The sequence below is a fragment of the Homo sapiens genome, chromosome 2 (assembly GCF_000001405.40).
Source record: "Homo sapiens chromosome 2, GRCh38.p14 Primary Assembly".
NCBI classification, from domain to species: Eukaryota; Metazoa; Chordata; class Mammalia; order Primates; family Hominidae; genus Homo; species Homo sapiens.
Window position 1 is genome coordinate 3,246,741 of NC_000002.12, and position 16,818 is coordinate 3,263,558.

At 47.1% G+C, this 16,818-nt stretch overlaps 1 protein-coding gene across 6 annotated transcripts in view, besides 3 other annotated features; it reads right to left on the reverse strand.

Annotated features, from left to right (window-relative positions):
* The window catches only part of EIPR1 (EARP complex and GARP complex interacting protein 1), a 188,849-nt gene that overhangs the window by 57,771 nt on the left and 114,260 nt on the right, over positions 1 to 16,818 (reverse strand). For 5 of the 6 annotated variants that reach the window (NM_003310.5, NM_001330530.3, XM_011510383.4 and 2 more), the window contains one exon: positions 10,559 to 10,715. The exons of the other annotated variant lie outside the window; for it this stretch is intronic. In NM_003310.5, coding sequence (NP_003301.1) covers positions 10,559 to 10,715 — 157 coding nt within the window. The remainder of the gene's footprint in view (positions 1 to 10,558; positions 10,716 to 16,818) is intronic. 6 annotated transcript variants of the gene reach the window in all.
* Positions 5,358 to 5,652: a silencer, noted in NCBI's record as "tiled region #3808; HepG2 Repressive DNase matched - State 19:H4K20, and K562 Repressive non-DNase unmatched - State 23:Low". NCBI's record gives its function as "represses a minimal TATA promoter and a strong SV40 promoter by Sharpr-MPRA in HepG2 cells, with weaker repression in K562 cells {active_cell/tissue: HepG2 | K562}" and the evidence as "EXISTENCE:reporter gene assay evidence [ECO:0000049][PMID:27701403]".
* Positions 7,739 to 7,788: an enhancer, noted in NCBI's record as "active region_15225". NCBI's record gives its function as "activates an Ori minimal core promoter by ATAC-STARR-seq in GM12878 lymphoblastoid cells {active_cell/tissue: GM12878}" and the evidence as "EXISTENCE:reporter gene assay evidence [ECO:0000049][PMID:35858748]".
* Positions 7,799 to 7,928: an enhancer, noted in NCBI's record as "active region_15226". NCBI's record gives its function as "activates an Ori minimal core promoter by ATAC-STARR-seq in GM12878 lymphoblastoid cells {active_cell/tissue: GM12878}" and the evidence as "EXISTENCE:reporter gene assay evidence [ECO:0000049][PMID:35858748]".

Consider the following 16,818-nt stretch of genomic DNA (forward strand, 5'->3'; position numbering starts at 1 on the left):
GAGGGAGAGAGGAAGAGAGGGAGGAAGGGAGGGAGAAAGGGAGAAACGGAGGGAGGGAGGGAGGCAGGGAGGGAGGGAGGGAGGAAGGGAGGGAAGGAGGAAGGGAGGGAAGGAGGAAGGGAGGGAAGGAGGGAGGGAGGGAGGGAGGGAGGGAGGGAAGGAGGGAGAGAGGGAGGGAGAGAGGGAAGGATGAAGGGAGGGAGAGAGGGAGGGAGACAGGGAGAGAGGGGAAGGAGGGAGGGAGGGAGGGAGAGAGCGAGGGAGGAGAGAGCGAGGGAGGGAGAGAGCGAGGGAGGGAGAGAGGGAGGGAGAGAGGGAGGGAGAGAGGGAGGGAGAGAGGGAGGGAGAGAGGGAGGGAGAGAGGGAGGGAGCTGCCACTGTCATTCACTTCACTCCCATCCCTCAAAAGCTTCTTATTATGGATTCTAGTAACTTTGCCTTTAAAGGAGATTTTCATCATCCAAGAAACAAGGCGATTTCTAGGACGACTCTTGATATACCACTTGGGAAACGGAGCACAACAAGAATGCGCCGAGGTTTCCATTATTTTGACGTTGCTTCCACTAGCCAGCAGGGAGCATTAATCTACAGTGAAGGTGCATAACTCTTGAACAGCTGGAGAGCCTCTTTATCATCAAAGGGCGATGGAAAACCATAAAATTACCCTGTTGTGGCTAATCAGCCATCGAACCAATGGTGATGATGATGCATTGTGGAGACACCACATCCCAACTTCACAGCAAGCCGACACAAGAGAACAGTACTTGCAGAAGATAATTACCTCCTTCCTGCTCTTACCTGCAGAGTTCCAGGAAACCTCCCCTTTATCAGGGCTCCGAAGGGCACTGGTGTAAACATGAGCTGGGTAGGTGCAAAGTGCTGGGAAGCATTAGAGGATGTGGTGGGTCCACAGTCAATTGCTCATTATTCACTATCAATATGTACACTCTACATATTGATAAGATGCATTTAGCTATCAGTTTAATCATTGACTCAGGGAGAAACCTAATCCTTTAATAGAAGAATAACCATATACAATATTTTTAAAAGGTGTCCTAAAGAAACCTTTCTTATCTACTCTTGGAAAGTAAAAATTTGTTATCAATTATAAGGGTGACGTTGGTATTCATCTCATTTAGCCTCAATTTCTGTAACAGTCAAAGGGTAGAATTTTATTAATTCTTCTTATTTATCTATAGCCCATCTTTTCCAGAAAGAATTTAAGGGAGCGACATAGTCGAGATGTTTGTCCCCTCCACATGTCATGTTGCAATGTGATCCCCAGTGCTGGAGGTGGGGCCTGGTGGGAGGTATTGGGGCATGGGGGCGGATCCCTCATGAATAGCCTAGCAGCATCCTCTTGGTGGTGAGTGAGTTCTCGCTCAGTTAGTTCATACACAATCTGGATGTTTAAAAGAGTCTGGGGTCTGGGTGTGGTGTCTCACGCCTGTAATCCCAGAACTTTGGAAGGCCGAGGTGGGTGGATCACCTGAGATCAGGAGTTCAAGAGCAGCCTGACCAACATGGTGAAACCCCATCTCTACTAAAAACACAAAAACTAGCCGGGCATGAGCTGGGTGCGGTGGCACACGCCTGTAATCCTAGCACTTTGGGAGGCCAAGGCGGGTGGATCACCTGAGGTCAGGAGTTCGAGACCAGCCTGGCCAACATGGCAAAACGCTGTCTCTACTAAAAGTACAAAAATTAGCCAGGCGTGGTGGTGGGCGCCTGTAATCCCAGCTACCCAGGAGGCTGAGGCAGGACAATCACTGGAACCCTGGCGGAAGAGGCTGCAGTGAGCCGAGACTGCACCACTGCACTCCAGCCTGGGCAACAGACCAAGACTCCGTCTCGAAAAAGAAAAAAAACAAAAAAACTAGCCGGGCGTGATGGTGGGCACCTGTAATCCCAGCTACTCAGGGGGCTGAGGCAGGAGAATCACTTATACTGGAAGGCGGAGGCAGAGGTTGCAGTGAGCCAAGATGGCACCATGACACTCCAGACTGGGCGACAAAGTGAGACTGTCTAAAAAAAAGAAAACTAAATTAAATTAAAAATAAAGAGTCTGGGACTTCCCCATTCTCTCTCTTGCTCCTATTCTCACCATGTGATGCACTGGGCCCCTTTCACCTTCCACAATGATTGTAAGTTTCCTAAAGAATCACCAGGAACAGATGCTGCTGCCATGCTTCCTGTACAGCCTGTGGAACTGTGAGCCAAATAAACCTCTTTTTTTATAAATTACTCAGTCTCATGTATTTCCCTATAGCAATACAAAAATGGACTAACACATTAAATAGGTACTGAGGAGGGGAGCATTGCTACGAAGATGCTTGAAAATGTGGAGCAGCTTTGAGACTGGGTAACGAGCGGAGGTTGAAGGAATTTGGAGGGCTCAGAAAAAGAAAGCAAGATGAGAAAAAGTTTGGAATTTCTTAGAGACTTATTGAGTGATTGTAGCCAAAATGCTTATAGAAATATGGACAGTGAAGGCCTGATGAGGTCTCAGATGGAAATGAGGAAGCTATTTGAAACTGGAGCAAAGGTCACCCTTGTTAATGCCTTAGCAAAGAGCTTGGCTGCATTGTGTCCATTCCCTGGGAATCTGTGGAAGTTTGAACTTAAAAGAAATGACCTAGAGTATCTGGCAGAAGACATTTCTCAGAAGCAACGTATTCAAGAGGTAGCCTGGCTGCTTCTAACAGCCTACAATCAGATACAGGAGCAAATAAATGACTTAAAGTTGGTATTTATGTTTAGAAGGGAATCAAAGCATAATGTTTGGAAAAGTCACAACCTGGCCATGTAGAAAAGAAGCAAAGAGGATTTTCAGGGGAAGAATCCAAGAGGGCTGTGGAGCAACCACTTACTAGAGAGATTTGCATGACTAAAAAGGAACCAAGCACTAATAGTCAAGACAATGGGAAAAAGGCCTTGAAGACATCTCAGGCATCTTGGGAGGGGGAAAGCCCCTCCCATCCAAGGTCCAAAGGCCCAGGAGGAAATAATGGTTTCCAAGGCCAGGCCCGGGGCCCCACTTCCTTGTGCAGCCTCAGGACACTGCTCCCTGCATCTAGCTCCAGTCATGGCTCAAAGGGGCCATAGGTACAGTTCCGGCAGGTGCAAGCTATATGCCCTGGCAACTTCCACATGGTGCTAAGTCTGTGGGTACATAGAATGCAGGAGTGAAAGAAGCTTGGCAGCTTCCCCTAGATTTCATGGGATACATGGGAAAGCCTGGGTGCCCAGGCAGAAGACTGCCACAGGGGTGGAGCCACTGCAGAGAGACTGCACTAGGGTAATGCTTAGGGGAAATGTGAGGTTGAAGTCCCCACAGAGTCCCCATTAGGACACTGCCTAGTGGAGCTGTAGGAAGGAACCTTCTGCCCTCCAGGCCCAAGAATGGTAGAGCCAGAAGCAGCTTGCATCCTGAGCCTGGAAAAACCAAAAGCACTTGACTCCAACCCATGCAGGCAGCCATGGGGACAGCTGGCCAGGGTTTTGGGAGCCCAATCCTCACACCAGTGTGCCCTGGACGTAGGACATGGAGTCAGTGTTGGAGCTTTAACATTTAATACCTTTCCTGCCAGGTTTCAGACGTGCATGGGGCCTGCTGCCCCTCTGTTTTGGCTGATTTCTTCCTTTTGGAATGAAAATGTTTACCTAATGCCTGCACCCCCATTGTAATTTGAAAGTAAATAACTTGATTTTCATTTTACAGCCCATACCTTGAGTCTCAAATGAGACTTTGGATTTTTGAGTTGGGGCTGGAACAAGTTAAGACCTTGGGGGACTACTGGAAAGAGATGATTGAATTTTGTGATGTGAGAAGGACATGAGCTCTTTGAGGGCAGAAGCAGAATGGTATGGTTTGAATGTTAGTCCCCTCCAAATCTCATGTGGAAATGTGATCCCAATGTTGGAGGCATGGCCTAGTGGGAGGTACTGGACCACAGGGGCGGATCCCTCATGAAAGGCTGAGCACCCGTCCCTTGGTGATGACTGAGTCTTCTCGCTCAGTTAGTTCCCACAAGATTCGCTTGTTTAAAAGAGTCTGGCAGCTGCTTCTTTCTCCTAACAAGTGATGTCCTGGCTCCCCCTTCACCTTCCACGATGGTTGTAAGTTTCCTAAAGCCTCACCAAGAGCAGATGCTGGTACCATGCTTATATAGCCTGCAGAACCCTGAGCCAAATAAACCTCTTTTTTTTTTTAATAAATTATCCAGTCTCAGTATTCCTTTATAGCAATGCAAACAGACTAACAGAGGCAGCTAACACACATAAAATAAAATATAACAGTGTGAGATATACTGAAAAATAGTTAAAACATTACACTAGATGGGCATAATTTGATAAAAGCACCCCCAAGGGAGTGTTCAGTTCAATTCCACCCAGGCGGCCAGCGGTCTGCTGAACTGACTTCATCCACAGAGGGAACTCATCTGAATGATTTCCAAAGTCCTTTTCAGCGAGAAGACTGCGGCCGTGCCCTCTGTAAGTTCCTACTCCTGAGGCAGGCTGCCTTGGCTGGAGTAGCAGGGGTGTCAGCCACTGTGAGGCTAAAGGGAGGGTGGGAAGAGGGTCTGTAATTTATTTTTGATTCATTAAAAACAAAGTGATGTGGCACTGAGCAACAGTCAATAAATGTAGACTCTGCATCTAATAAACAAATAAATAAATGTCCTCTACATCTAATAAACGTAGAACTGGAAAGAATCCGAGGCCCCACAACCACCCCCACTCCACACACAAGGGAACAAGGCCTCAACAGAAATGACTTGCCCAAAGTTGGAACACTACAAATAACTACCTGTAAATCTGAAACGAGAGCCCGCCACCCTAGGTCTGCTGCCTTGAAGTCCACCATCTCTCCCACAAGTCACTATAGCTGACGAAGAAGCAAACCAGAGGTAGAGAGGGGAAAGCAGGTTTAAAAAGAAGGGCATTTTGTTATTTTCAAAATGCTTAATTCCCATATACAGCATACTTTATTAATGTTTATCAACCAAAAGGACCAGCTAGAAATACTGAAACATCCTCAACGCTTACTGTCATGAAGATACATTTATATTCCCAGGAACAGAGACAATTTCATAATCACACTGTGAGGAACACAAATGGCTCCTTCTGTTCATTCAACAGGGAGGTGATCCCAGTGTTTCTGGAGTTCTGGGGCGAGACTTCTGGCTATGAATCCTGAATACTCCCTCTGTAGGAGTGAGTAATTCCAGATACCTTTACCTTAATCTCTTGGGGCCATGGGAAAGGACAGTCCCTACTTTACAGGATTTGCATGAGTGAGGTAATGCATGCAAAGCCCTAGCAAAGGGGCCTCGTTCACAGAACGGTTCAATACGATATGGTTGTTGCAAAGCATTCATTTTCTCACTCAAATACGCGGAGTGTCCGCCCTGTGCTGTCCTTGGTGCTGAGGACACAGCCTCGGACCTGACAAAGTCAGCAGCTTCTGCAGAGGCTCAGCGTCCACAGAGAACACCACACGTGAGTGAGAACAGAGACGGGAGTACTGAGCAGCGGCAACTCCTACGAAGATAAAACGGCAAAACGGGCCACGTGCAACAGCTCACACCTGTAATCTCAGCACTTTCGGAGGCTGAGGTGGGCGGATCACCTGAGGTCAGGAGTTCAAGACCAGCCTGGCCAATATGGCAAAACCCCGTCTCTACTAAAAATACAAAAATTAGCCAGGCGTGGTGGTGGGTGCCTGTAATCCCAGCTACTCAGGAGGCTGAGGCAAGAGAATTGCTTGAACCCGGGAGACAGAGGTTGCAGTGAGCTGAAATCATGCCACTGCACTCCAGCCTGGGTGACAGAGGGCGATTCCATCTCCAAAACAAAAACAAAAACAAAAAATTGGGCAAAATGGCAAGAAATCACAGGGTGGGGCAGAGCATGGTGACTTGAGAGGGAAGGGTTAACCAGGCGAGGCTGAGACAGGAGCGTCTAAGTGGGGCTGGTGATGGGGCAGGTCCTCTAAGGCCAGCTCAGGGGCTCCATCCCTGCCGGGCAGAGCTGCAGAGCACCAGGGCTGGCGGGGACCTGAGGGGCCCTTACAGGAACCCCGGCACTGCCTTGTTTTTAGGATCTTCCTTAGCAAATATAGTAAGGGACACATTTCCACTGTAAATCAGAAATAAAAAACTCTAAGAACCCCACCCATCTGAACGGACTTTCTCCCTAGCCAGGGCTCTTTTAAAATTTAACCTCAAAGGCTGTTTTAGGCCATGATGGGAAGTGGGGATCGGACGTGCCTCATTCTACCTCTCTGGCATCAACATCGACACAGGCTTTAAGTCTGATAGGAAACATTTTATAGCCTGTTCTCTCGGAAGCTGCCACCTGAAGTTTCCTCTGCAATAAGAACTTGAGTCTCCACGGTCCTTTTTCCTAACCCAGGCATCCCTTTCAGTTGATCTCAGGTCTTTAGACAAATTCAACCAATTGTTAACCAGAAAATGTTTAAATTTACCTACAGTCTGGAAGCCTCCTGCTTCGAGTTGTCCCCCCTTTCTGGACCAAACCCATGTATTTCTTAAATGTATTTGATTGATGTCTCATGACTCCCTAAAACGTATAAAACCAAGCTGCGCCCCGACCACCTTGGGCACATGTTCCCAGGACCCCCTGAGGGCCGTGGTCACTCATATTCAGCTCAGAATAAATCTCTTCAAATATTTTACAGAACTGGACTCTTGGTGGACACCATGTAGAGGCCCTGCCACACAACCATCAGCTGAGCAACGTCATCGCCGTTTCAGGGATGAAGGTTTGAGCTAGAGAAATGAGTGACTTCCTAAAGACCCTACTGCTCCCGAGGAGTGGGTGAGGACGAGAAACCGGACTCAGTACTTCCCAGCTAGTCTCTGTCTGCTTCCATAGGCTGCCTGGCTCTGGAGCATGTCTGATTAGTGTTCTGGGGGGCACACTGGGTCATAAGGCTCTATAAGTTCCTTCCTTAGCCTTCGCTGTTCCCACTAGCAGGAGCTAAAGGCGACTGGTGGGGTGCCCTGTTCAGCCTCTGCTTGTTGGAGTGCTGAGACAGACACAGGAGGGGTGATGGAAATTAGGACATCAGATTGCTCCAGACAGGCAAAAGCTGAAATGGCCAGGAGGACAGGAGCCCCTAACACCATTTCCTGCGGTGTGGGGCATGCCTCTAGTCTGCAGGGAGCACCCATGGCAGGCGTGATGGCAGCTGGAGTGGTAGCGACGTGAGTGTGGGGAACCGTGTGGCATTCTCGGGCACTCCCAGGTGGCCAGAAGCTTTGTGCAGTAAACATCTCCTGGAGCTGTTCTTGGTGCCAATTATATGCCAAAAGGAGGCAAACAAAACCACCACCAAGCACCTGGAGCCTGACCCCAAAGGGCAGCCTTCACCTGTGCCGTATTCACCAGACCGACGTTCCCCCAAATCAAATTCCCTATCTAATCATAACACTTTCACACCATGGAAGACACTTAAAAGAACACGCATGATGACACCAAATGCTGGGGAGGACGCAGAGAGGAGGAGCCCTCACGCTCTGTCATGGCATCACACGTGCAGCAGCTCCACACAAAACTAACTGAGCCGAGAGAAATAAAACTTCCTGTTCATACAAAAACCTGTTCATTAATACTTACCGCAACTGTAGTCATAATCGCCAAAAACAAGGAAAAACCCAGATGAGCTTCAACAGGCAAGTGCTTAACAAACCGTGGTGCGTCATGCCATGGGATATCCCGCCGCAGCAAAGAGGAACCAGCCACTGACCAGCACGCATGGTGGCTGGAACCCAAACTTGAAAATGAAGCAGCAACTCAACCTCCAGGGAATCAAGCCGAGTAAAGAACATCAGTTATTAAAGGTTACACTGTGGGTGATTCCATTTATAGAACCTTCTCCAAATAACAATACAGAGATAGAGTACAGATTCGGGGTGGCCAGGGGCTAAGGCCTTGGAGGCGGAAGGGAGGTGGCTGTGGTTATAAATATAACATAGCACAAGGGACCCAGGGTTGGAGTTGTTCTGTGTCTTGACTCTGGTGGTGGCTACACGAACCCACACACACAATAAATGGCACAGATGTCAATGTTCACACACGAATGCATATAAACAGGAGGAATCTGTGTAAGTTCAGTGGGCTGTATCAATGCCAGTTTCCTGTTTGTGATACAGTACCATAGTTATGCAGTGTTACTATTGGGGAAAACTGGCTGAAGGATACACGGGATCTCTCTGTTACTCCTATAACTATATGTGAATGTACAACCTCAAAATAAAAAGCTTAAGAGAAAAAAGAATATGCAATAATATATTGGATAACAAAATGGAATTCAAGCAATACTTTGAACAACAGAGGCAAAATCAGAGCAAATGGCATTCCAAGGTAGATCTGAGGATAGTTGAATTTGCCTGTTTAATATCAACAATTACTTTCTTACTTTCTTTTTTTTTTTTTTTAGACGGAGTCTCTCTCACCCAGGCTGGAGTGCAGTAGCCTGATCTCAGCTCACTGCAACCTCCGCCTCCCAGATTCAAGTGATTCTTCTGCCTCAGCTGCCCAAATAGCTGGGACTACAGGCACGTGCCACCACACACGGCTAATTTTTGTATTTTTAGCAGAGATGGGGTTTCACCATGTTGGCCAGGCTGGTCTCGAACTCCTGACCTCAGGTGATCCACCCACCTTGGCCTCCCAAAGTGCTGGGATTACAGGTGTGAGCCACTGCACCCCACCTTCAACAACTATTTTCATAAGTCTATGTAGGTATGATGCAATTTAACATTACAATCTAATAATCAGTTCCCCATGACACACACCCATGTGGCCTGTCTTTGCATACAGTGTCTGCACAAGGTGGGAAGTTGAGAAGCAGTCTGACAGCTCCTTGTCCCCAGGCAGGGCCAAGGTCCCTTTTCTGAGCTCACCTGTCTCTGCACATCCCAGCAGGACTGCCATCCGCTACACATGCTAACCTCCCTAACGTGACCACTGACCTGCGCAGAGTCTCACTCATCTGCTCCCTGGTGCCGGTGTCTCCTGCAACGTGTACACACATTAACACATACACAAATGTGCACACATACGTGTGCACAGAGACACAAGCACAAATGTGTGCACATGTGCATCACACACATGCGCACAAATGTCTATTTGCTGGGGATGTGGCAATCATTTGAAATGTGGAACTCCTAACAGTGCTGTGTGGTTTGCACAGAGATCCTGCATTCGGGCGGGGAGTGACAGCAGTGGCAATCACTCCTGGGGACTTTGGGACTCTTCATCTGCCTCCCCTTACTGTGCAAGACTGGCTGTGATTTTAATACTCAGAGCATCTCCGTAAGAAGAAATATCCACCGACGTGGTAGAAGCACAGCAAGTATAAAAATAATTCCACCACAAACTGATACACAGAGAGCATCCGGAGCCACAGACTGCCTGACCCTCAGCACTGCTCTCCTCCATACCTGACGAGGGAAACCTGAGTCGGTCCTCAGTCCCCGTTCCAAACTCCACCTCGTAAGCGAATCCCTCTTCAATTCCTCTAATAACAATTAATGGCTGCTCCTTCCGGGGCCACAGCGTACAGTTCGTAATGATTTCGGGGTACGCCACGGCTGGCCCAGCCACAGTTAGTTGTGTACACCCTGGGTCTCCCCGTGGAGATCATGACTCTCGGAGGCCGGGCCCTCTAACTTGTCACCTTGGTGTCCCTGGAGCCTGGCAGGGTTTCTGTAGCAGGTATTTAATAAGTATTTGTTGTATTAAATTTATTTAATTGGTAGAACTGACGAGACAGAAGTCACTGTACAAACGATTTGTCTCTTGCAGACACACACGCACATGTGTATGTGTTAATGCATTAAGTAAAACAATCACTATCGTTATTGTAAACACTCATAACAACAGTATGCCCCCGCAATCTCCTTTAGAAAATACGGCTTCTTAATTTTTACCAAGGCCTCAGGGCCTTCAGAGAGCAGCTGTGACTGCCGTGGAGAGGTCCCTGGGAATGACCAGTGGGTGCACACAGCCAGGCCTCCAAGCTCATGAAGCAGCGACTGGCCAGGGAGCCACGTGAATGACACACCACATGCCGGACACGGGCGGGCTTGGGCACGCAGCCCCACAGGCACACCACGCATTCATGCTTTGTCCACGGGAGGAAGGGATTGTAAGCCTCAACCTGAAGTGGTAAATAATTGCCATGTGAGTGTGAATAAGTGCATGCTGACCAAGCTGAAAAGCCACACAGCGCTCGAGGGCAGTGCAGTGCCTGACCCTTTACCCTCTGGCAGGTCCCCACGGGCAACACTCCTCTTAGATGAAGAGGAGAAAGTGGGGATGCAGGCGCGCTGGCTACATTTCTGTCAATGCGGCTAATCTAGAAAACACAGGGACTAAAATTAAAAATCAAATTCTCGCAGCTTTTTAAAAGAAAGGAGCGTTTCCGAGGTGTGGACGGTGGCTCCTGCAAAGGAATCTGCACAAGCTCCTGCACCTGGCCAACCTGCAGGCTCGTTCTGGGCGCATGAAATATGCAAAATCCTACCAGGCCATGTTGCCATGGGCTGTGTTGTCAAGGTGACAGAGCAGCTCCAGGGTCTGTGCAGTGCTGGATGAATCATCAGGGGACTCGTGGCTGCCTGATTCCAATTCCTTCGGCATCCTCCACACGGCTGCACATGTCAGGACTTTGCTGTCTGAAGCTGAGCAACAGAGCATAATGGATAATGTCAACAGAGCACGGTGTGCCCCGCATTCTGCAGACAGCACACGCACATTTACACAAATCCATAAGCAGCGCGCATCTGCTCTTTAAAATATGTACGATTGCAGGCAGCAAAGACGGAGCAGGGAGAAGCACAGCCTGAGTCGGCAGGCAGAACCCGGCACGGTTCGTAATCAGCATCCTGTTCCCCACTTTCTCTTTGTTTTAAAAACCATCATGCTGTTTCAAAAGAAAATTTAATTTCCTCAAAATCGATTTCCTTCCGTTCTTCTTCAATAGTTCTTCAAAAAAGGGAGCAAAATGGGGGACTAAAGATATAATCACCACGCACGCAGCTGGTGTCTAAGGTTGGCATTAAACGGGTTTTCTCTCCATAGCTGTATGAGATCACCTTAAATGACTATTAGGCACACTGAGCGATATTCCATTCGGAAATCCTGTCACGCATGTTATTCTGCCTCAGTTTACCTAAAGTGATGAGTATCTGGGACCGGAAGGTAATGCCATTCAGAGGCATCGCATGCTGAGGCCTGGAGCCCTGGTGGGCAGCAGGTGGCAGCCCAGCCTGGTCATGTCACCATCAATACAGCCTCTTCTCCTAGAAATGAGAGTGCCATCCTTACACGATCCTGCTGGTGGCTGCTCGGTCTCCCTGAGTCTTGATACTCTATTTTCAAGATGCTCCAGGAATCTAGAGTACCTAGAAAAGCCACTTTGTGGATAGAGACTCAACCTGCATTAGAAAGACTGGGGTCACTTGTTTCCAAGGAAGGTCTCTGATGCTCTAGAAAATTTCTCAATATGATAAATTTTTTAAAAATTAGATTTAACATTGAATTCTTGAACATAAATCCTTTCAGAATTTGCTTTCCATTTAGTTTTCAATTGAATATGTGCTAAACACCTCTCCCTTTTAAAGATGGCCTTTAATGAATAATCATAAACTAGCAAACAGGATTCAACATTAAATCATCAATTGATAACAAGTGAAGAACATAAAAATATTATATATTGCGTTAGAACATAAAAAAACATTTCATGGGTAGTACAAGAAGGAAAACAGCATGGCATTACAAAATAACAACGACCTTAGGTTACAATCGAAAATGTATCACTTACTGGTGATGATGCTCTTGCGATCTCAATATCAACTAATCGACCAAGCAATATAGCAACGAACTCAATGACAAAATATCTAACTTTGTGAATATTATTAATACCATTGTTAACCATGATTGAATGATAAGAAGTTAAAAGATTAAGACTTCAACCAGGATTTTCTGATTCCAAATTCAGTGACCATTTTATATACCATATTGGGTCTAAAAGAACATGCAATTATGGCTTAAAGAAAAAAAACTCCATCATATATTCATATAATGTTCACACTTCCAACTTTACAAAAATGGAGTGTACAGACAGTTCTGTCTACAAGGGAATTTTATTTATTTATTTATTTATTTATTTGCTGAAATTTTCAGTTACACGATCTTTCTGCAGAGCCCACGAGATTGGCAATGGCACTCCTGGAAACACAAAAATAACCAAAGGGAAAGTTGGCAATTTGGAGTAGGAAAGAAAAAAATGAATGCCTAACCCACTAGCACACACTAACCCAACAGAGGTGTAGATTATCTTAATCTTTCTAAATGGTAGAAAAATACATGTCTAATCTTACAAGTTATAGAACTAATAATGGGAGCACTAAATTGTGGCTGCACTTCAAAATGAATGAAATACACAAGATGACAAAGGCAGGGAATAGTAAAAACAGCTATTCTGTGGAAGAAATGACTAATGGCAGACACTCCCCCCCACATCCCCAACAAGTTCCTTCTTTGGAGAATTCTGTTCAGGTGTAAAGAAAGTGACTTTCCTGTAAACGCCAGCTCACCAAACTCCTTAACTATATCCACGTTGCCCTCAATAAAGCAAAAGTGGTACAGGTGAAGTAAGATTTTCCACTCTCAGGTAAGCTACCTCCCTTCAAAGTCTACACCAGATACAATGTTTAAGTGACCAGCTGGACAATGAAGTTTCCACGTATCCGGTTCATGTAGCGCTATTCACCTCTCTCCCCACAGTCCATCAACTTCACAGAGTAGAGAAGGCAATGGAGGAACCTCCAAGAAAATATAGATAAGAGAATCTACACTCACTTCAACTTTTACTCCATTCTGAAACCCTTCTAATGTTGTAACAAAGAGGGGTTTTTCTTTCTATTTTCTTTTAAAAACATAAACCCACAAGGATAGAAGAGCAATGAAGTTTTGGAAGCTGGAAAGAAACAGACCCTTAGAAAGATGGTCACTTGTTTTACTACAAAAATAACACTCAAGAGTGGAGAAAGGATGGTCTTTTCAATAAATGATGCTGGATCAATTGTATATCCATATGAAAGAAAATAAACTTGTATCCTACCTCATAACATACTCAAAAACCAATTCCAGCTAGACTGATGATAAAGACGTAAAGATAAAATAATACAAATCTTTTCAAGAATACATAGTAGAATATCTTCTCAGCCTTGGGACAAGCAAAGATTCCTTAAATGGCAGGAAAAAAAGCTGGATCATACAGAAAAAGACGAATAACATAGAATCTATTAAAATTAAGAACTTCTATTCACCAAAAGACCCTATTAATTGGACTTCATTAAAATTTAAAACTTCTTTAAAATCAAAATGAAAAACTCTGCTTTCAGAAAGACACTATTAAAGAAATGAAGCAGTGGCCGGGCATGGTGGCTCACGCCTGTAATCCCAGCACTTTGGGAGGCCAAGGCAGGCGGATCATGAGGTCAGGAGTTTGAGAGCAGCCTGGCCAACATGGTGAAACCCCGTCTCTACTAAACATATAAAAATTAGCTGGGCATGGTGGTGGGCGCCTATAATCCCAGCTACTTGGGAGGCTGAGGCAAGAGAATTGCTTGAATCTGGGGGGTGGAGGTTGCAGTGAGCTAAGATTGTGCCACTGCACTACAACCTGGGCAACACAGCGAGACTCCATCTCAAAAAATGAAGGAAGGAAGGGAGGGAGGGAGGGAGGGAGGGAGGGAGGGAAGGAGGGAAGGAAAGAAAGGAAAGAAAGAAAACAAAAGAAAAGAAAAGACAGACTGGGGGAGATATTTATAATACATATATCTGACAAAAGGCCTGTATCCAGAATAAATATAAAGACCTCCCACAGCTTAATAATGAAACAACCCAATTTTTTTAAATGTACCTTACGCCAAATCAGACACTTCACAAAAGAAAACATATGAATGGTCAACAAGCACCAGAAAAGATGCTCAACATTATTAATAATTGGAAGGAGGCAAAGTGAAACCATGTGAGACTCACCACACATCTTACTAGAGTGGTGAAATTTTCATTTAAAAAAGACCAACAATAGCAAGTATTGGCAAAGATGTACAGTAACTGGATCTCTCACGGATTGTGAAAAAAGAGTGTAAAACAGTACACACATTTTGGAAAACACTTTTGCAGTTGAACATTCACTTACCAGATGACCCAATAATTCCACTCTTAGAAGAAGCTGTCACAAAGCTTGGCTTGTTGATAATAAGCTTTGTCCAGCTTTCTGACTTGGGCAGTTAAACCCAGCCCCAAGTAAATGTGGTCGGGTGACGGTATGTAACTGCCAGAAGTCAGGGGGTGGCAATTATCATAATGACCAACGAGACCAGAGTGCCGGCCAAGGAAGCTCAACTGGCAGAGGGCTGTGGAGACAGTTAATAGAGTTGGTATTCCTAGGGGTGAAACAGACAAGGCATTCAAGGAGAGTACTGCCTGCCTGACACATGCACACATGAGTGCAAACGTACATAACGTACATACATATTAAAAAGAAAACAAGAATGAATGAGCAGAAGGCTGAGGGAAGTCACCCCACTCACAGTCACAATCCCTTACCCAGATCCAGATTTGAGGCAGCTTCAGAGCTGGAACCCACTGACGGTAAAGATGGTCAGATTCCCCACGGGTTAGGAACCTGCAACCCTAGGGCAGGTGTACACTGCAATGATTACCCTAGTCTGTACCCAAAGGGACCCACGGCCATTTTCCTGAATGCCATTCCCTGGGCAAAGGGTAATCCCCACACATTTCCAGGTCTGCTGAACACAAAGACACGCACAGGGGTCCAGCAACCCAGTGTCCCACTGTCCTCCGGCCCGAGTGGGGCATGGGGATGCCAGGTGATAAGTAAAGTCCTAGGCAGGGCCTGGCTTACCGCAGATCCTCTGAGTCTGTGGGCGCACCTGGTGGGCAACTCCAAGGTCTGTTAAGGTCAAATGGGATTGACATCCTGGGCAGTTTGTGAAATACCCATACCGGGCCTGTGACCTGTGGAGTTAATGGGAAGGTCACATAGAAGCCTCTGAAACTGCCTCCCCGTCCCAACCCATCAAAGAGTGGTAGAGACCTGCGCTTACTTTAAGAATCAAGGATATGAAGTGGGTGTGGCTTTGCTGAATTCACCATTGGCTTCTGCAGAAAGCTAATGGGCCCTGGAGAATGCCTGTGGATGACTCTAAGCTCAACAAAGCAGGAGCCCACTCAGATCCACAGTGCCAGCTGTGGAGTCTTGTTAGAGCAGATTCCCAGGCCCTCAGGCACATGATGTGTGTACACAGACCGTCAAATGCACGCTGTCCTATCCCAATGAAGAAAGAAGATGAGAAACCATCCGCATTCACAAGCAAAGGAAAACAGTATACACTCTTGCCACAGAGCTGTGCTGGTCTCCCATTTTCTATCATAATATAGTCCAAACAGACCTGGGCAGCCCACAGAACATCACATGGACCCACTGCATTCATGACATTACAGTGACAACGTAGGAGGAGCGTGCAGAAGACCTTGGCAAGACGGCAGGAAACACAAGCTATGGCAATTCCAGGACCTGCTACTTCTGCTGAGGACACCAGGACTTCCCCTCCAGAGCAAAAGCAGAAAAGACGCTGTAATGCCTGCCAGCCCTCTTCATTCTAGAGGTGACACATTATACACCTAGGAAGGCTGGACCAGCCCAGATGCTGGGGTAGCACGTAAGGCTGCCAGCTTAGGCCAAGAGGGCACTACAGCAAGATCAGGCTGGGGAGAGGCAGCCCTGCTTCTGGGGACGCCTAGTAGACCTGCTGGTGTGGAAGTTGTCAGTGGTAGAAAGCATGCAGTGTGGACTTTGTGGAGAGCCCGGTTGGAGTCACCACGTGGTCCCGGGGTTCTGGAGCAAGCCATGCCATCTGCAGCACAGAACCATGTCTTTTGATAAACAGCTCTGACCATGCCTCTGGGTCCTGATAATGGAGCTCCTGGCCATGGGGCACCAAGTGCCACGTGTCACTCATGAGAAGAGCTCAGTCATACCCACCACGGCACAGGGTCGGGCAGGGCCAGCAGTGATTGACTACAAAGTAGAGACGGTGCACACAGGACAGAGTCAGGCAGGACCAGAGGGCACCAGAAAACTGCATGGTAGGTGCCCAAACCATACAAGACTTCTCTGCCCCGGACCCTCCCTGCACTCATGCCTGTGGCCATGTGGGAGTCCTGTACTTTTAGCTGAAGAAGGAGAAGAGATCTGAGCTGCTTTACAGATCAATGAGTTCGGGAGAGGGCATAAGCCAAACATTGGCAGGCGCTGTCAGACGGCTACGCTCAGGAGACGGCTGGGAGAGCATGGAGGGAAAGCTGATTGTGAAGAACGGTGATCATGAGGCAGGGCTCCCAGCACTGCTCTGGCCATCCCTGTGGCGTGCAAAAAGTGGCCCATACTCAAGGGCATGGCCAACTGCCTGGTGACTGGTTAGAAGCCTGGAAGTAAAAAGACTGAGAAATTGGAGACCCACCCACAGTATTGCATGTGGCAAGGTGATGCCTGGAGCCCCTTCCATCCTGAGAACAGGAAGAAGTTCATCCGACACTTAGTCCAAGTATGAGTTTGCCTTTCTTGGCTGCAAAAACAAAGCCCTGATGCCCTGACCAGAGACCACCCCTCAACGGCCCCACCACTACAAATAGCACATAATCAGAGAAGCCACAGAACTGCACTATACAACAAGCAGGAGTGGGCCC